The sequence below is a fragment of the Homo sapiens genome, chromosome 11 (genome assembly GCF_000001405.40).
Source record: "Homo sapiens chromosome 11, GRCh38.p14 Primary Assembly".
Taxonomy (NCBI): Eukaryota; Metazoa; Chordata; class Mammalia; order Primates; family Hominidae; genus Homo; species Homo sapiens.
Window position 1 is genome coordinate 8,671,697 of NC_000011.10, and position 18,685 is coordinate 8,690,381.

The 18,685-nt window shown below is 44.9% G+C and overlaps 2 protein-coding genes and 2 non-coding genes across 26 annotated transcripts in view, besides 10 other annotated features; 3 read left to right on the forward strand and 1 right to left on the reverse strand.

Annotated features, from left to right (window-relative positions):
• The window catches only part of TRIM66 (tripartite motif containing 66), a 71,192-nt gene extending 59,657 nt beyond the window's left edge, over positions 1–11,535 (reverse strand). For 9 of the 23 annotated variants that reach the window (XR_930930.2, XR_930929.2, XR_930931.2 and 6 more), the window contains exons 1-6: positions 10,905–10,969; positions 8,205–8,367; positions 7,924–8,118; positions 3,110–3,187; positions 552–689; positions 90–402 (exon numbers count right to left, since the gene is read on the reverse strand). Coding sequence is in view for 16 of the 23 variants with exons in the window: in XM_011520510.2 (XP_011518812.1) it covers positions 90–402; positions 552–578 (340 nt within the window). In the remaining 7 variants the exon portion in view is untranslated. Of the gene's footprint in view, positions 1–89; positions 403–551; positions 690–3,109; positions 3,188–6,437; positions 6,474–7,923; positions 8,119–8,204; positions 8,368–10,904; positions 10,970–11,070 lie in introns of those variants that run through there. The other 14 variants (XM_047427944.1, XM_047427942.1, XM_047427940.1 and 11 more) reach the window with 10 other exon arrangements.
• Positions 10,526–11,725: an enhancer, noted in NCBI's record as "MED14-independent group 3 enhancer chr11:8703769-8704968 (GRCh37/hg19 assembly coordinates)". NCBI's record gives its function as "activates an origin of replication core promoter dependent on BRD2, BRD4, P300/CBP and CDK7 cofactors, and independent of MED14, by STARR-seq in HCT116 cells {active_cell/tissue: HCT116}" and the evidence as "EXISTENCE:reporter gene assay evidence [ECO:0000049][PMID:35650434]".
• Positions 10,526–12,017: a biological region, named in NCBI's record as "MED14-independent group 3 enhancer GRCh37_chr11:8703769-8704968".
• Positions 10,589–10,658: an enhancer, noted in NCBI's record as "active region_4387". NCBI's record gives its function as "activates an Ori minimal core promoter by ATAC-STARR-seq in GM12878 lymphoblastoid cells {active_cell/tissue: GM12878}" and the evidence as "EXISTENCE:reporter gene assay evidence [ECO:0000049][PMID:35858748]".
• Positions 10,859–11,048: an enhancer, noted in NCBI's record as "active region_4388". NCBI's record gives its function as "activates an Ori minimal core promoter by ATAC-STARR-seq in GM12878 lymphoblastoid cells {active_cell/tissue: GM12878}" and the evidence as "EXISTENCE:reporter gene assay evidence [ECO:0000049][PMID:35858748]".
• RPL27A (ribosomal protein L27a) lies at positions 11,096–18,176 on the forward strand. Its single transcript, NM_000990.5, has 5 exons — positions 11,096–11,120; positions 11,506–11,569; positions 12,310–12,385; positions 13,022–13,196; positions 13,982–18,176. The coding sequence occupies exons 1-5, from the start codon at positions 11,118–11,120 to the stop codon at positions 14,108–14,110; spliced, it is 447 nt and encodes a 148-aa protein (NP_000981.1). The 5' UTR covers positions 11,096–11,117; the 3' UTR covers positions 14,111–18,176.
• Positions 11,169–11,368: a silencer, noted in NCBI's record as "silent region_3115". NCBI's record gives its function as "represses an Ori minimal core promoter by ATAC-STARR-seq in GM12878 lymphoblastoid cells {active_cell/tissue: GM12878}" and the evidence as "EXISTENCE:reporter gene assay evidence [ECO:0000049][PMID:35858748]".
• Positions 11,375–12,017: an enhancer, noted in NCBI's record as "NANOG-H3K27ac-H3K4me1 hESC enhancer chr11:8704618-8705260 (GRCh37/hg19 assembly coordinates)". NCBI's record gives its function as "activates a minimal SCP1, AML or CMV promoter by ChIP-STARR-seq in primed H9 embryonic stem cells {active_cell/tissue: H9 hESC(primed)}" and the evidence as "EXISTENCE:reporter gene assay evidence [ECO:0000049][PMID:30033119]".
• On the forward strand, positions 12,531–12,660 carry SNORA3A (small nucleolar RNA, H/ACA box 3A). The gene has a single exon (NR_002580.1). It is a non-coding gene; the product is annotated as a small nucleolar RNA, H/ACA box 3A (small nucleolar RNA).
• SNORA3B (small nucleolar RNA, H/ACA box 3B) lies at positions 13,743–13,873 on the forward strand. The gene has a single exon (NR_002977.1). It is a non-coding gene; the product is annotated as a small nucleolar RNA, H/ACA box 3B (small nucleolar RNA).
• Positions 16,811–16,860: an enhancer, noted in NCBI's record as "active region_4389". NCBI's record gives its function as "activates an Ori minimal core promoter by ATAC-STARR-seq in GM12878 lymphoblastoid cells {active_cell/tissue: GM12878}" and the evidence as "EXISTENCE:reporter gene assay evidence [ECO:0000049][PMID:35858748]".
• Positions 17,041–17,160: an enhancer, noted in NCBI's record as "active region_4390". NCBI's record gives its function as "activates an Ori minimal core promoter by ATAC-STARR-seq in GM12878 lymphoblastoid cells {active_cell/tissue: GM12878}" and the evidence as "EXISTENCE:reporter gene assay evidence [ECO:0000049][PMID:35858748]".
• Positions 17,166–17,460: an enhancer, noted in NCBI's record as "tiled region #3983; HepG2 Activating DNase unmatched - State 1:Tss, and K562 Activating DNase matched - State 1:Tss". NCBI's record gives its function as "activates a minimal TATA promoter and a strong SV40 promoter by Sharpr-MPRA in HepG2 and K562 cells {active_cell/tissue: HepG2 | K562}" and the evidence as "EXISTENCE:reporter gene assay evidence [ECO:0000049][PMID:27701403]".
• Positions 17,181–17,370: an enhancer, noted in NCBI's record as "active region_4391". NCBI's record gives its function as "activates an Ori minimal core promoter by ATAC-STARR-seq in GM12878 lymphoblastoid cells {active_cell/tissue: GM12878}" and the evidence as "EXISTENCE:reporter gene assay evidence [ECO:0000049][PMID:35858748]".
• Positions 18,177–18,685: the final 509 nt, after the last annotated feature.

An 18,685-nucleotide genomic window follows, 5' to 3' on the forward strand; every position in this document is an offset into this window, starting at 1 on the left:
TTCTTTCTACACCCAAAATTCAGTTCCTATGAAACAGGAAGAGACCTGTTATGTAGTGGGAGGTGAACTTGTGGTGCCTTTGTACTTACCATCTGCAACAGTCTCATGAGCCTTGGCAATCTGCCCTAGCTCCTGTATCAAGCCCTGGAAGCAGTCCTTACGGAGCAAATGCTGGCAGGATAGGAGATGAGAGCCCATACCTGGCAGGTCCTGATGGCACAATGAGCAGGTCATTACCATGGCCTCCATCTGTCCACTCTTAGGGCAGTGTTTCTGGCCAGCTAGTGGCAGCCCCATAAAGCTCATGCCCATGTCCACAGCCATGCCTGTGCCCAGGACTGGGGCTTTTCCACTGATATCCTCAGGTGAGAAGCAGCGTGTAGAGCGAGCCAGCTCCACTCCCTGTAAGTGAAGCACAAAGCAGAGTGATCTACTTATTTTGAGCAGAAAAAAATCTTAGGCCAGAGGGGCCTTCGAGAACAAGGCCTCAAAAGTCCAGGCCATGTTCCTCTCCAGAGCTGGAGGCTCATGCCTCAGCCTCAGTTCCTCACCTGGGACCAAAAAGAGAGTCTAGCCATCTCTGCCGTGGAAAACAAAGCGTGGAGGTGTCTGCTGTTTGTCTGAAGGCGAACAAACCCTTCAAAAGTGTCCCGTACCTGTGCCTCTCCTTATTGGTAGACAAGCTTGACCTAAGTTTCAATTTTGGAAAAAGGAAGAAAATTGCATTATTGACAAGTTTATGACAGGCACTTTACATACTGTATTTCAAAGGGGTTGAGACACTTTTACAAATTAAATAAAACCAAGAGGGACAGGCTGAGGAAACAGTGTTAGAGAGGCTGGGTCACGCACAAAGACAGATGGCAAATGGCAGAGTCCAAATTCAAATCCAGGTCAGTCTTCTGATTCTGGACTCCAGTCTCTTTTTTTTTTTTTTTTTTTGAGACAGGATCTCACTCTGTGGCCCAGGCTGGAGTGCAGTGGCACAATCACAGCTCACTGCAGCCTTGACCTCCCTAGGCTCAGGTGATCCTCCCACCTCATCCCACCTCAGCCTCACAGGTAACTGGGATGACAGGTGTATGCCACCACATGCGGCTAATTTTTTGTATTTTTAGTAGACAGAGTTTCACCATGTTGCCCAGGCTGGTCTCAAACTCCTGGGCTCAAGTGATCTGCCTGCCTTGGCCTCCCAAAGTGCTGGGATTACAAGCATGAGCCACCACACCTGGCCCATACTCTTTTTTTTTTTTTTTTTTTTAAGATGGAGTCTTGCTCTGTTGCCCAGGCTGGAGTGCAGTGGCGCGATCTCTGCTCACTGCAAGCTCCACCTCCCAGGTTCACGCCATTCTTCTGCCTCAGCCTCCCGAGTAGCTGGGACTACAGGCACCCACCACCGCCCTGGCTAATTTTTTTTGTATTTTTAGTAGAGACGGGGTTTCACCGTGGTCTCGATCTCCTGACCTCATGATCCACCCGCCTCGGCCTCCCAAAGTGCTGGGATTACAGGCATGAGCCACCGAGCCCGGCCCACACTCTTAATTAGTGAAATGTTCTTAAGCTGAGGTCCACACACATATTTTCATGAGTTCTGTCCACTAATTTTTTAAAATTAGTGTTTCATTGTGATAATAAAGTTTTAAAAAGTATAGTCTGGATTATCTACATATCTACCACAATATGATTTTGGGGGTAGTGTTAAGAGTCTAGGATTTAGTACACACTAGGCAGTATTACTTGTCTCAGGTTAATGAGCTGAGAGAGGGGCAGACTTAATACACAAATAATGTATTCTTGCCACTTGAAGTCTAAACAACATTGTGGCACAAAATGATGCATGTTTTACAGTACTTGGAACAGAGAAAGGAAGTGGGAAAACTGAGCCATCATCATTGTGGCATATGTTTGCTGAACTTAGCTACAAGAGTGAGCACCACATTTAAGTCATAATGATAGTTTAGTTTAGAAAAACATCACATACATGTGAAATTAATATTATTAATTTGATGGCTTTGTAGTTTTTTACAATTTGTAAACTATATTCAGTTTTATAGTTGTATAACAGCTAAAAGCCAAAGGAAGTTGTAGCTAGTTTTATATTTGTACTTATTTAAGAAACAAAATACAAATCATTTAATTCAAATCTGGGTCTTGGTAATTATGCAAGTTTGAGAAAAATTTCACTCCAGTCTGAAGTCTTTAGGAGCCAAGCCTTCAGGAAGGAGGAAGGGTGATGGGGCTGGGAGAGGCCAGGCTGCCTGGGGTCCAGAAAGATGCCACTACATAAAGCTATAGATAGACCTGCACTTCTAATTCCTTCTGGGCATTATTTAGCAGAAAACAGCCATAGCAGCAGCATGATTAGAGACGAGGACAGTCTCTATTAGAAGGTTCAAGCATGCCTGAGTTTATTTCACTGGGCCAGTAGTTCTCAAACTTTTTGGTCTTGGGAATCCCTTTACATATGTTTACTCATTGAAGACCCCAAAGAGAGTTCATTTATGTGAACTATTGCTATTTACCACACTAGAAGTTAAAGCTGAGAAAATCTATTGCTATTTACCACATTAGAAGTTAAAGCTGAGAAAATTTTAAAACATTAATTTTCATAAAATAATAAACTTGTTATATGTTAACACGAATAACATACTTTTTGGAAAAAATAACTATTTCCTTTTTTCCATTTATTTATTTATTTATTTTTTGAGACAGGGTCTTGCTCTGTTGCCTAGGCTGGAGGGCAGTCGTGCGAAGTTCACTGCAGCCTCAAACTTCTGAGCTCAACCAAACTTCTTGCTTCAGCCTCCTAGGCAGCTAGCACTATAGGCATGTGCCACCACACCCGACTATTTTATTTTCATTTTTATTTTTGTAGAGACCAGGTCTTGCTATGTAGCCCAAGCTGGTCTCAAATTCCTGGACTCAAGCGATCCTCCATTTTGGCCGCCCGAAGTGCTGGGATTATAGGCGTGAGCCACTGCACCCAGCCTAAAAAAAAAAAATCAACTACTTTCAAAAAAATTAATTTAATGAGAAGAGTCACATTGTTTCTCATATGTGCCAAACCCTTTAACATCTGGCTTAATAAAAGACGGCTGGACTCCCATACCTGTTTCTGCAGTCAATCTGTTATATGTTGTTTTGTTCACAGTATATGAGGAAAATCCAGTCTCACACAGACATACAGCTGGAAAAGATAGGAGTACTTTAATAGCCTTATCAGGTAATTGTGGATATTCTTTGATACCACACCAAAATTCAACAGTGGTAGTAGTTTCTTAAATGTTATTTATAAGGTAGACTCTGAACCAAACTTTTCTTATTCTGTTATATTAAAATCTGCTGATCTTGCTCTTTGAACTAGTCTTTTCCCCAGGCACAGTTTTTTAACACCAAGCATTGGTCATTTGGAAAATACCAGTTCAATGACTTATGCAGATGTTCCAAATATCGACACATTTCATTACACAATAACAAAAAATCACATTCTTTAGAATCACCTCGAATCTCATCAGAAAATTCTTTTAAGCATTGAGAAGCTGCCAAATTCATGGAGGCAGCAAAAACTACCAGAATTCTAACTTTTGCTTGAACGCTTGAATTTTATCATTGGCAACAAATACTGTCAATTCACTTTTGAGAAAATATCGGACAAATTCCCAAGCCTGAATAACCACAGTTTGTCTGCCAGTTATTCTTTTTTTAGATGCAGTTTTGCCCTTGTTAACCAGGCTGGAGTACAATGGCGTGATCTTGGCTCATAGAAACCTCCACCTCCCAGGTTCAAGTGATTCTCCTGCCTCAGCCTCCCGAGCAGCTGGGATTACAAGCATGCACCACCACACCCAGCTAATTTTGTATTTTTAGTAGAGACAGGGTTTCTCCATGTTGGTTAGGGTGATCTCAAACTCCCGACCTCAGATGATCCACCTGCCTTGGCCTCCCAAAGTGCTGGGATTACAGGCATGAGCCATCGCACCCGGCCTGCCAGTTGTCCTTTCGTGTAATACTGATGTTTCACTTTTTATTTTTTTAATTATTATTTATTTATTTATTAATTTTTGAGAGAGTCTCGCTCTGTCGTCAGGCTGGAGTGCAGTGGCGTGATCTTGATTCACTGCAACCTCCGACTCCCTGGTTCAAGCGATTCTCCTGCCTCAGCCTCTCAAGTAGCTGGGATTACAGGCATGCACCACTACGCCCAGCTAATTTTTGTATTTTTAGTAGAGACGGGGTTTCACCATGTTGGCCAGGATGGTCTCAATCTCCAGACCTCGTGATCCACCCGCCTCAGCTTCCCAAAGATTACAGGCGTGAGCCACCACATCGTCCATTATGTTTCATTTTTTAAAAGGCTAGTTTAACTTGCAACTCAATAGCACAAGCACAGTTTCTCACTTTGATATGTAGTAGGAATACTTTTTCTTCACACAGAACATCAAAAAGAAATCTAAAAAAGTACTTAAGAATTTCAGGATTGAGATTTAATAAAAATTGTTACCACTTCATCATGGATGGACATTCTTAAGGTAAACTTCTTTTTTTTTTTTTTAACCGGCAGATGCTTAGTGGTAAAGAATATAAGGTTTTGTTCCAGTTTGGTGCCCAAAACATCAGCAGTTTTACATAACATTGCTTTGGCACCATCAGTGCAAATGTCAACCCAGTGAAAAGATCAAATAACACGTTAGCTTTATTATTAAAATTGTTTGACCTGTGAACTCCCTGAAACGGTCTCAGGGACCCCCCACCCCATAAGGTCTACAGACCACACTTGGAGAACTACTGCATTAGACCTTGCATCACAATCCTGGGAATTCAGGGAGGTAGCATGGCTTTCCACCACCAGCAAGTACTACACAGGGTAAGAATATAAAGAAACAGGCATCTCATTTATGTCTTAGAAGAGCAATTGAAGTAACTCCATGAAAGTAAATGGTTAATTTAAAGGCACAGCCACACAATGAGTTTCTGATTTGAGAAGACGAAGGGTCAAATGACCCCATTTCTGCCCCCTTCTTATGGCTGCTTTCATCATAACTTAGTTCTTCCCTCTCCTTCTTATCTCCCCTGACCTAGAAGAGTGTAGGGGACAGAGTTTGCAAGACTGTACTTAAGCCAAGGTAGTAAATTCAAATGCCTACAGGGGCTGGGCAATCTATATGAACGAAGTGCTTTACTTAAAAGAATGTGGGTCTAATGTCTCCAAATCTTAGTTTTCCAAAACCCAGGAAATTATTTTTATTTACATTTTAAAATGTTAACAAAAAGTTAAATTTTAAAACATTGCCTTGCCACAAACCACCTCCTTTTAACATCTTACCACATCTATATCTAAGAAAAGGAAAATATTTACTGGAGTACCTTAACCTTGCTAAGGAATGATGGAACAAGTCATTCCACATCACATTGGGAATAAGAATTTCAAAGATTGTTTGCATGAAGGGTACAGAACAAATTATCATAAAAATAACACTCATTTTAGGGAGAAAATGTGAGCGAGAAATAGTAGGTAATGAGAGTACCTACTCTTTGCTAGGCTGTGTTATATGTGATATATTATTTGTTTGCTTGTTTAATGTATGTCTTAGACATAGTCTTAGGGAAGGACTTTTGTTCACAATTGTACCTGCCCCTCACTTGCCTGGCACCTAGCATAGGAACATAGTACACACTCAATTAATATTTATAAAACGAATGAATGAATCTCATTATTTTTTCATTATACAGACAAGAAAACAGATTCAAAGAGAACATGCTATTTGTTCAATATAATTCAGTGAGTAAAAACAGAACTAGGAGGCTGGGCGTGATGGTCATGCCTGTAATCCCAGTGCTTTGGGAGGGCGAGGTAGGAGGGCTGCTTGAGGCTAGCAGTTTGAGACCAGCCTGGGCAACATACAAGACCTTATCTTTAAAAACAACAACAAAAAAAACAGAACTAGGAAATGAACCCAACTTTCTGTGTTCTTTCCATTAATTTTATCCTCTGAAATTAAAGTAAAACCCAAATATGTAACTCCTTTTTTCTGCTATTGTATAAGCTGTTCTCAAAGACTCTAGAATTTCTCTTTTCACGTTTTGTTACTCTGAGTTTAATGGCAACAAGGTTTTCCACCCTAGTTTCCAATAAAGCTTTAGGAATGTAATTGCCATGTAGAACACTCTATCCAACACAGGAAAGAAAGACTCCTAAAAATTCCTAATCTTCCAATTAGATTATTTTTACTTTGTGCTGAAGAAAACCTCGCCTGATCCTATGGATTTCCCCTAAATGCCATATATCAAAAACTACCGATAAAGGCAAACAAAAACCCCCAAGGCTAGGGAGGTTAAAATGAAACTGGAAACTGTACATATTGCTGGTGAATAAATTGGTACGATCCTTTTGGAAAAAATACATAGTAACATAAAATGAATCACAAAAATGTTCATACCATATAATCCAGCAGTCTCACTTCTGGGAATTTATCCTAGACAAGTTATTCAACAGGAGAAGAAAAAATTATATACAAATGCTCATTCCATCATTGTCTCTAACAGCAAAGAATACAATAAGAATTTTTTAAAAAAACAAAATACACAAGAAAGTGGCTTAATAAAAGATAGCACATGCTGAAAATAAATTATTCTTCAGCTGTTAAAAATAATCATGAAGACTGGGTAGTGATACGAAAAACTGCCATGGTATTAAATAAAAAGAATACAAAAGGATTTGTATACTATGATCACTAACTTTGCAGACAGCTATGTCTCCATGTATACAAGGGTTGAAAGGTAATACTCAGAAAAGAAAATGGCATCACAGGGTGGAATGATTTGAGTTGCTTATACTTATATTTTTTTCAGAATTTTCTTTACTGTTGTACTGTCTATTACGTATAATTTTTCAAGTCTTTCTGAAGTAAATTGGGATTTCTGAGCTTTTCTCTAATTCTCACTTGGAAAAAAAGCAGAAACACTGCTTCTTCCCATCTTGATTAACAGTGCTCTACTTAAAAAAGAAAACGAACATATTTCCAAATGTCCACATCTAAAGATGGAGAGCAAGAAAACAGAGCTGGATTCATTCAGGATGTTGCTGCTATCTGAAGGACTGATGTCGAATTCAGGAACCCAGTGAGGAGAGAAAGGAAGAGGGATCACCAGGGCCTTCTTCAGGGTGATGATGTGTTCCCAAGGCCACCTGGAGAGAGGCCTGGGGCAGCAAAAAATCAGCACACTTGCCTGCCTCACCAGGCTGCTGTCTGGTATCATCTCTTCCGTTCATTTCTGAGGTATTTTCTGAGGCCCTCACACTCTGAGGAAGCCCAGATGCCTGAGATGTCACAAAGCCATGCTGTACTTCAGAAGAGATGTCACAGAGAAGGACACCCCTCAGGAGTCATGGCCAAAGGTCATGTCCCATGTGCCTAGCTGGGAGGGACAGGTCCCCTAATGCCAAATATCTGGCTGCTACTCCACTTTGCAGACAGAAAACTCAGCTTTGTCTGCTCTCTCAGACCTCTGTCAACCTAGGAAAAGTGACACACACTGAACAAACACCACATGAGCTGTGTGTTTAAGTCATGTGGTTGCCTTTTGAAGGAGAGGGAGCTGGATAGAAAACTGGATTGAGCCAGACAACTACCCAGGGTACTCCCTCTACAACCAGATCAAGCCATTGATGAGAAGAATGTTAGGTGAACACAGAACCCAACGGGTAGTGCTGGGTCCACTCTGGGAGGCCTTCTGTTCAGCCGCGTGACCTGAGGGACAGAACGTAGCTCCTCTATAACCAAGGAACCTGGCAAACTATCCAAGAGGAGTGTCTTAGCACCCAGAACCCTACCTCAACCCCTTGCAGTGGTGGTCCTTATTGTAGGCCCCAGCTCTAATACCACTGATGGTTCCCTTTCATTCCCAAGGCCCTGCCCAGCTTACCTCCATTGACAGATCATCTTCCCAAGGTTAGGTTCCAGGTAACCCAGCTCATTTCTTGTGCACTTACTGGCCAGTTTTGATGTCAAATAGACGACGATGTCTTCTTTGATCTCCCCTCCTATTCTCAAGACCCCTCTTCCTGCTGGTCACATGCAGTATGTGATTAAGGTTGATGGAGGGATGAAGACCATAATGCTGTAAGGTCAGAGAGGGACTGGTCACTGAGGTAAAAGCAGGGGATCTGGAGAGAGAAGACTAAAGGCTAGGCCCAGGCTCTGTACCTGACCACCTATGCAGCGTCTGACAAGTCACCCAATTCTTCTGTGCTTCAGTTTTCACACACGTAAAATGAGGCTGGTAGTGCTGTACCTTCAGGCAGATGTATTTTGTAAATTGCCAAGTGCTCTGAAAATGTTGGTTGTTATCCTTGTGGACTGAAGTGTTCTGGGAAGAAGCAGAATATAAAGTTGGCCTTAAAGGTTGAGGAAGATTCAGGACATGTGGTCAGGAAGAGGATGGGCACTCCGGGATGGGAAACAGCATGAGCAAAGGCAAAAATGCAAATGGGATATACCAGGCACGGCTGCAGTAGAAAGCTTGTGTAAGGGAGAGGCTGGGGTAAGGCTGGAAAGGCAAGTGGGCTATATTCTGTTGGTCATAAGGAGCTACCGAACTTTTTGATCAAGTAAAAGAATGAAAGTCATGTTTTCGGAATACTAACGTGGTGGAGGTGTGAAGGATACAGAAATTGGAGGAGGGTTAGAATGCAGGCAGAGTGAACAAAGGAAGGTGTTGTAAACTCCAGTTAAGAGATATGATGGGGGCCTGAATGAAGGCAGGGCACTAAGGCTTAAACAGAGGAAGCACATTGGGGAGATACAGAAACAAAAGGATAGGGTGACAGTGTAGTAGAAGAAGAGAAGGCTTGGGGACAATTTTCATTATCTAGGTGGACAATGGTGCCACTCACCAAGACAGAGAATAAAGGAGAAGGCACCAGTGAGCAGTGCAGATTGAGTTCTTTGGATATGTTTACTTTGTCTGTAGAATGTCCAAGGAATACTAACCAGTAATTAAGTGACCATATGGGTGTGGAGCTCAGCAATAAGGATGTGAATTGAAGCCACCCAAGAAGACCATGTACTGTGAAAAGATAAGGACAAGGACAGAAGGCTGAGGAACATCAACATTCAAATGGTGGACAACGCTGGATGGAAGAACCTGAAAAGAAGACTGAAAAGTGACCAAAGAGTAGGAGGAAGGCAAGACTTTTTCTAGAAAAAGACGCCAACAGATTAAAGTACAACAGAAAGAACAAGTGATATGAAGAATAGGAAGAGTCCAATTTGGCAATTCGTTCATTAATGACATTAGTAAGAGCAATTTCACTGAAGTCACAGGCTGTGAGCTAGACCGCAGTGAACAATGGATGGGAAGGTGCAAATGGGCAGGATTTGTAGACTACTCTTTTGGGGAGCTTGGCTGTAAGGGCAAGGACATGGGAGAATTTTGGAATTTTTTTTTTTTTTTTTGAGACGGAGTCTCGTTCTGTCGCCCAGGCTGCAGTGCAGTGGCGCGATCTCGGTTCACTACAAGCTCCGCCTCCCGGGTTCACGCCATTCTCCTGCCTCAGCCTCCCGAGTAGCTGGGACTACAGGCGCCCACCACCACGCCCATCTAATTTTTTGTATTTTTAGTAGAGACGGGGTTTCACCGTGTTAGCCAGGATGGTCTCGATCTCCTGACCTCGTGATCCGCCCGCCTCGGCCTTCCAAAGTGCTGGGATTACAGAAGTAAGCCACCACGCCCGGCCAGAATTTTGGATATTTTAGCTAAAATATATTTTAGCTGAAGGGGGCAAGACAAAGAAAAATAAATAAATACACGCTCACACATACACACAGAGAATAACTGAGGGGATGGGATTTTAAAAATTTATTTCATTTTTCCCATGGGATCTATTAATAGACTAGCGAGGGGATGGGATCTTGAACACTGGTTGAAGGAACCGACTTAAGAGCGAAGACATGCTGCTATTAGCGAAGACAGGGAGGTGAGGGTAAGTTCATTTATTCACTCAACAATCACTAGTTGAGTGTGGATTAAAAAAAACAGTCCTTGACCACATAAGGAATTAGGTCTAGTAGGGAAGACAAACGTAGGTCAATAAATTACATAAGGGTTATACTAGATTGTGTGGTGGTACAGGTGGGGAAGCGAGCAACTGTCTGCATTGTGTCCAGGAAAGGGTCACAGGCGTGTTATGTAGATTCTGGAGAAAATTCAAAAATAGCATTTATTTTTACTTATTTACTTTTGTATGTGGAGACGAGGGTCTCACTATGTTGCCCAGGCTGGTGTTGAACTACTCGCCTCAAGAAATCCTCCCGCCTCGACCTCCCAAAGTGTTGGGACTACAGGTGTGAGCCACCGCGCCTGGCCTAAATGTGGCATTTAGAAAAAGTATTTACAACATCTGCATTAAAAGGACCATAAAGCAACCAGGCATCTAAGTCCCTGAAGCAATTTAAGTTGCTCAAACTTGAGAGGACAACCAAATGATAGCAAAAGGGCAAAAGAGAAAGGAAGCTGCAGTGCCCACTCAGAAGTGTGAGAGCGGGAGAAGGCATTTCGGGAGCCGCCCGAGCTTCAGGAAACCGAGCGAGACACCAGGTGGGCACACTGAGGATTAAAGAGGGCCTCGCGGTTCCGCACTGCGGCCGGGAGACAAACCAGTAGCCACTATCACCAGCCCCGGGCAGACCACTAAGAACTGTGGAGGTGCGCGGGGCGGCTCAGGGCTGGCGCATTTGGTGAGGAGCTCAGACAACGAGGCCCTTAGGGTCGGCTTAGGCGGTTCCCTGACCAAGGCGCCAGAAAAGGGCCTGGCTCAAGCAAGCACGGGCGGCGTGCAGTACAGCACACCTAGCCCCGATTCTTCAACAGTTCTCGCCCTCCGAGCCTAGCACAACGAGCCTCACCGAAACCGTACACCGCCACCAGGACACTCCGTGATGGGGGATCACCACCCTCAGAAAGAGGAAGCGACTAGCAGGCGCGCAATCCCGCGAGACCAGGAGGCCCCGCCCGAAGCCCGGCCTCTGTGACCGGAAGTGAGGCGTTTTGCCCCGCCCCCGTGGCCGATACCTCGCGAGACTTGGCGAAGGCCTTCCTTTTTCGTCTGGGCTGCCAACATGGTAGGTGTTTCGTTTCTTGCCTCCTCTTCCTTGCCGGCGGAGACCCCTAAGCTGTATTCCCATTGCCCCTAGTCATCCACTCCCTACCATGGTCGGGGCTTCCAGGCTGCGCATGGCCGCCTGCGGGGCAGGGTGGCCGGCGCGGGCCCGGGGCGGGGCTCCCGGAGCCGTGTGTTAGGCCCGCGGTTCGGATCTCTAGGACACGCGGGCCCCTGCGCTACCGTGGTGAGACCTCACGGCCCTGAGCGGATCGGTACCCTCAGCTTTCCCAAACGCTCCAGAAGTTAGGTCTTTGACCCACAGGCTTACAGGACCATCTCGGCTGGCGGGCATCGCCCCCTGCCCCTAATTCCTTAGGCCTTACCACCAAGCTTTTTCCACACAGCCATCCAGACTGAGGAAGACCCGGAAACTTAGGGGCCACGTGAGCCACGGCCACGGCCGCATAGGTAAGTGCCGGCTTCCCCTCGGGGTGGGCCTTGGGCTCTCTTCGGGTGCTTAGCTAGTCTGGAGATCGGTAGCCTATAAGTGGGTTAGAATAAGACCTTTTTGTGGTCAAGTTGCACAGCTGTTGATTTTTTTCTGACGATCCTCTAGTATTCCAGTTCTAAGGAATTTCACATCAGTGGGGTAATAGGAATTGAGCAGGCACGGTATTGGGTTAGTTGAAGACATGGAGTACTGTGGGAATGCTGTGATGTGGAACCTGAAAAGATGTTTCACCCGGAATCCTAAAGTAATCGCATTGCTGAAAACCGGCATCGGTAGGGTGGGAACAGCGTAAGCGGGACACAGAAGTCTGGGAAACACTCTGCTTTTGTGCGAGGAAGTATTGAGATGCATGAGAAGGCTGTGTGGTGCATGTAGCTTTTTTGTGTGTGTGTGAGACTGATCACTGTCGCCCAGGCTGGAGTGCAGTGGCGAAATCTCGGCTCACTGCAACCCCTGCCTGCCGGGCTCAAGCGATTCTCCTGCCTCAGCCTCCCGAGTAGCTGATATTACAGGTGTGCGCCACGACGCCCGGCTAATTCTTTTTCTATTTTTAGTAGAGTCGGGGGTTTCTCCGTGTTGGCCAGGCTGGTCTCGAACTCCTGACCTCAGGTGATCTACCCCCCCTCGTCCTCCTAAAATGCTGGGATTACAGGCATGAGCCATCACACCGGCCCCACGTAGCTTTGTATTCCTGCAGGCAAGCACCGGAAGCACCCCGGCGGCCGCGGTAATGCTGGTGGTCTGCATCACCACCGGATCAACTTCGACAAATAGTAAGTGTCCTTGGACTGCTTTTATTGACACAGCTTGGGAGGTAGGGGCAGAGAGAGGGCTGGCTTAAACAAAAAGTTTAGAAGCAAGCCTTGCCTATTGCTGTTTTTTACCAAGTTAACACTTGGTGTGAACTGAGAACCTGTCATCGAGGCTAGAGTCACGCTTGGGTATCGGCTATTGCCTGAGTGTGCTAGAGTCCTCGAAGAGTAACTGCTGACCTTATTCACTGGCTGTGGGCCTTATGGCACAGTCAGTCACCAGGTTAGAGACATGCTTCACATTCACCTACCCACAAACTAGTGGATGATAAATTTTGGCTATTCAGAAGACGTTTATTATAGGAGTATGTAGATTTTCCATAGAGTGCTGTTATGTGACTTGAATTTTAGTCTCGGCCCTGCCTCTGACATTGTCGGTGGTTTATCCTGGTTCCAGGAAATAAGACTAGCCTTTTCCTCATGATAGTCTTTGGTGGTTTTTAAAACAGTTGTTTAAGTCAACAGATGTATCATATGCCTGACACTGCTCTACACCAGTGAATAATTTACACTCTAATAGGGGGTGGTAACTATAAAGATGATAAACATAGCATCTTAATTGGAGTGTGTATGAAGGTGGTTGTTACCTCTTCCTAGCCACCCAGGCTACTTTGGGAAAGTTGGTATGAAGCATTACCACTTAAAGAGGAACCAGAGCTTCTGCCCAACTGTCAACCTTGACAAATTGTGGACTTTGGTCAGTGAACAGACACGGGTGAATGCTGCTAAAAACAAGACTGGGGCTGCTCCCATCATTGATGTGGTGCGATCGGTAAGTTAATTGGATGTTTTTCTGTACTTCCATACCTTCCCTTACAAAACTCTGGCTTAATCTAATCCACTTATATAATCTGTACTTCCCAGTTACCTACCAGACATTGATATTCTTCCTGTGGTAGAATTATCATAGGTAGTTCCCTATCCGTAGCAGTGCCTACTGTCACTGCCCAGGTTGTATCAGGTTTGCATTTCGTGCTTGAACTATAGCTGGTTTTCACTGAGCACAGCTCTTGGCCCTTCATGTTCTCCAGATAATAGAATCCTAATATGTTCCATTGATACTCAGTGCCATGCATTATCTGAAGAGATTTTCCCCCAAAACAGATGTATTATGTCTGTCCTTGCGGGGGTTCTGGTCCCTGTGTCAGTCTTAACTCTCATGAATATAGAGGTAGTGTTAAGAGGCCAGAACCCTAGGGACGCTTTAAATTCACTTCCCAGCCTATTTAATGTCCATTGAGTAGTTCTGGTGGTCAGGAAGGTGGTTGTCTTCTTTTGCTTAGCAGGGGGTATTTGAGCAGGAGGAGGCTTATGCTTTGCCGAGACTAGAGTCACATCCTGACACAACTCTTGTCCTGGTGTGCTAGAGTACTCGAAGAGAATCTACTGGTCTTGATTCACTGGTGGGGGCAGTCGGTGCCCCCGTTAGTGCCCAGATCAGAAACATACATACCCTGCCTAGGGATTTAGAAAGTGGGTTGGCAGTCTTTCCTCACGCCCATCACGCAGTTGGTACCTACTACAGTGTATTGTAAACTTTTTTCTCTGTTCTTCTAGGGCTACTACAAAGTTCTGGGAAAGGGAAAGCTCCCAAAGCAGCCTGTCATCGTGAAGGCCAAATTCTTCAGCAGAAGAGCTGAGGAGAAGATTAAGAGTGTTGGGGGGGCCTGTGTCCTGGTGGCTTGAAGCCACATGGAGGGAGTTTCATTAAATGCTAACTACTTTTTCCTTGTGGTGTGAGTGTAGGTTCTTCAGTGGCACCTCTACATCCTGTGTGCATTGGGAGCCCAGGTTCTAGTACTTAGGGTATGAAGACATGGGGTCCTCTCCTGACTTCCCTCAAATATATGGTAAACGTAAGACCAACACAGACGTTGGCCAGTTAAACATTTCTGTTTATAAAGTCAGAATAATACCTGTTGATCACTGAAAGGCCTGCATGTATTGTACTCTGAATTTTACAGTGAATGAGAGAATGTACCCTAATTGTTCAACAGGGCTCAAAAGGAAAGATTCCATTTTGATGGGTCACATTCTAAAGAGGGGCAGTGTGATAGGAATGAGATGGTCCTTTAGGACTTAAGTTCTCAGCCCAAGGTTTTTCCACGTGGCCCCCTCATCTTTTTTTTTTTTTTAAACGGAGTCTCTCTTGCCAGGCTGGAGTGCAGTGGCACGATCTCGGCTCACTGCAGCCTCCGCCTCCCAGGTTAAGCGATTCTCCTGCCTCAGCTTCCTGACTAACTGGGATTACAGGCGCCCACCACCATGCCCAGCTAATTTTTGTATTTTCAGTAGAGATGGGGTTTCACCATGTTGGCCATGCTGGTCTCTAACTCCTAACCTCAAGTGATCTGCCCACATCGGCCTCCAAAAGTTCTGGGATTATAGTGTGAGCCACTGCGCCCGGCCATGGCTCCTTAATCTTGATCCAAATTATTGTTACATCCAGAATGTGATGAATCAAAATCTCGAGATGGGGGTCCAGCAATCTGAAATTTCAGTATGCCAGGGCTTTTCTGTATGTCAAAGTGGGTTTGAAATAGTTAATTTTTCTTCTAGTCTGAAATGTATCGGGAAAATTTGGAAATCCTGAAGGCTGGAAATTGAAATAAGTTTTTCTAGGATTTGTGTCTCTTGCTATTGGAAAACTGATGGTGACCAATTCATGTTTACAAATAAGATCCTCATAGATCTCGGTAAATTATAATTTGCTACAGTTTTATGGTTCTTCCTGTGATTTTGAGCTTTTTTTGACCCAAAATAATACAGTCTAAAACTATAGACAAATAAGATGGCACTTAGACTCCTGGGTTTTAGTTAGTGGAGGTTTCCTTAGTGCACTGTGGGGTCATAATAAGCCGAGAACCATGGCTGTCTATGGGACACATCTGTCAGGACAACCTTTAGAGGATGTTGGGGATCAAATAGAAGGCACAGAGAAGCACTGAATTGGCTTACATAAGAATAGGCTAGAATTACAAGTAGTGAAACCTCGATTCAGCTGGACAATTTTAAACAAATGTATCATTTGGCTTGTATCTTCTGTTGTGCTGGAGAAGTTAGAAATAAGGGCTCTCCAGACCAGCCTGACCAACCTGGAGAAACCTTGTCTCTACTAAATACACAAAATTAGCCAGGCGTGGTGGCACATGCCTGTAATCCCAGCTACTTTGGAGGCTGAGCCAGGAGAATCTCCAGGAGGCGGAGGTTGCTGTGAGCCGAGATCGTGCCATTGCACTCCAGCTTGGGCAACAAGAGTGAAACTCTGTCCACCCCCCCCAAAAAAAGTAAGGGCTCTCCATTAGGGCCCATAGAGGACTTGTAATATGGAACCTGAATCCAAGGATCCCACAATAAGTGGTCAGTAGTTCATGATGAATTAAAAGACTCAATATTTGGTCTTCACCCAATACCTGTGTGACTTTTAGTCCTAATTTCCTCATCTTTAAAATTTCAGTGAAAGTGCCTACCTGAGGATTGTGTAGATTAAAATGGAAACCGTGCACTTAATTTTTTGTTTTGTTTTGAGACGGAGTCTCGCTCTGTCGCCCAGGCTGGAGTGCAGTGGTGCGATCTCAGATCACTGCAAGCTCCGCCTCCTAGGTTCAGACCATTCTCCTGCCTCAGCTTCCCAAGTAGCTGGGACTACAGGCGCCCGCCACTGCGCCCGGCTAATTTTTTGCATTTTTAGTAGAGACAGGGTTTCACCGTGTTAGCCAGGATGGTCTCGATCTCCTGATCTGCCCGCCTCAGCCTCCCAAAGTGCTGGGATTACAGGCATGAGCCACCGCGCCCGGCCCAGGCACTTAATTTTTGTGTTTGACTTAGTAACTTAAGTGCAAACTATTACGGGAGCAGATGGAGTCAATTGGCCTTCATGTGATTGTCAGTGGGAAATTGGTCCAAGCAGAGGGAATACTGGTTCAGGAAACTGGTTTGGGAAGGTTAGGCAAACGGGAAGTGCTATGGTGGAGAGAAAGATTACTCTGGCCGGGCTGTAAAGGACGGCTACAATGGGAGGCTGAAGGCAGAACCAAGAAAATGGGAGTGAGTATGGAAAAGGTACGATTCAGACGGCATAATGGACGGGACTTGGAGACTGAATTGTAGTGGGCCGACCACAAAATGATAAGGCATGGAAGGAAGTAGAGTTTGGGGGGAAGGATCCCTAGTCCCTTAATGGCTACCTTCTTCCCCAGGAGTTGTTAGGCCATCCGATCCCCTGGCCTGGGAAAGAAACACTGATTTCGTTGCTGGCTTGTTCACTCACCAGAAGCTACAGCTACTAACAGTTCTAAAAACTGTTTCATGTGATGAGGAACAGACGAAAATAGTTTTGAGCCCTAAGTCCGCCGATTCCAGTGCTTTCTTGAACCCGCATTTACTAAAATATTTTCATGACTGCCAAGCTTTGAATAGCCTGCTGTGTTCATGGAGGCTCATACTGGCGATCTCTAGTGGCTGGCTAAAGCTTGAATTGCAAAAGATCTAATTTCTGGTCTAATGTATATATGCCTTAAATATAGTTGCGTTCAAACGTGGGAGCTGCAGGTGCAACTTGATTTTATGACAAATGGCTGCCACATAATTTGCACAAGCAGTGCTCGTCAAGGGCAGCTAAATCAGGCGAGCTTTCAATCAAAATAAATGTACTACTAAACCCTACTTAGCGGCTAACTAGCCCAAGAGCAGACAGCCCACGGACGGACTGCAAGTCGGAAGCGCGGGCGGAAGCTGTGCAGCGCCCACCTGGTGGCTCCATCGGCCGCGTTCATCAGTCAGCACGACCCGACCTCAGTGGCGTCCTCACAACACAGACCGGACCTTGGGTCTTACCCCGGCACCTGAGAACCACTTCCGGTGAGTAGCTTCTACTTCCGGAGACGATGACTCCCCCGCGTCCCAGACCGGAAGAAGCCCGGCGGAGACCGGCCTCGCTCGGCCACTTCCGGCAAGGGCGGAGCCGGCCAGTGGTGCGCGAGCGCAGATAACTCCCCTGGAGAGGCGGGATGTTCAACTCCACCCCTGGTCCTTGGGCGGCCGTGGGTCCCCTTCGAAGCGGAGGAATGGCCAACCTCGCCGCACTTCGAGCCCCTTTAGGGTGCGTTTAAGAACAGTGGGCGTGGCCTTTACGTAAATCTTCGAGATGGGAACCTCCAGAATTTGTCTCAATTGTCTAAAAGGTAATGAGCGTCAGCGACATTCAAGGGCACTTTGGGCTAAAAAAGAAAGTGCTTGTACACGGATGGAAATATTCTAGAAGAACATAAAAGGAATTTCCTCTTAGGAGGTTAGGGAAATGAGCACGAAGTATGTTTTGGTGCAGTTTTTTGTTCAACCCAATGCGTATTTTCATATTGAGAGGCAATATAAATGGAGCGAAAGTATCTTGAGAAAAAAAAAAAAACTACCAGAACTTGCCGTTGCTGAAAAGTAATATTTTCTCTTTCGAGAGTTTTCATGGCCTTTTAAATTACACCCCCACCTCCACAGGCAAATAAATTTGTTTTGGAATGCATACCACATCATCTGGCTCTAGAAACGTATTTTGTGTAGCTCCCCTAGCAAGAATATAGGTTAAAGCGTAAATTTAATTCCTGGCTCTATTTTACATCCCAATTTTTATTTTCCTCTCATTCCCACTTTACGTTGTTTCAAATAACCTAGTTTGTGTATCCCTGTAAGTCATTTTGGTATAAAGTAGGTTATAAGTGTACATGCGAAAAGATGTTTTTAACAAAAATGTAACTGAGCTGTGACTAATCCCACTTATTTTCTTGGGTCGTGCTATGGTTTGGATGTGGTTTGAAACTTGGCCCGCAGTATGGCAGTGTTGGAAGGTGGAGCCTATTGGGAGGTGTTTGGATCATGGAGGTAGATCTCTTACAAATAGATTAATGTTCTCCTGTGGGGATGAGTGAGTTCTCACTCTGCTGGGAATGGAGAGCAGGTTGTTTAAAAGGCGTCTGGCTTCCTCAGTTTCTCTCTCTTGCTTCCTCTCTTACTACCCGATCTCTTTGCACACGCCCAGCTCCCCTTCTGCTTTCTGCCGTGAGCTGAAACAGCCTGAGGCCCTCCCCAGGTATTGCTGCCCAATCTTTAACTTTTCAGCCATCAGAACCATAAGCCAAATAAGTCTTTTTTCTTTATCAATTACCCAGTCCCAGGTATTCTGTTATAGCAACACAAAATGGACTAAGATGGGCCCTAATTCCACCGATTCCAATGTCAACCAGAGTTTGACTAATGCTGTTTAAGGGC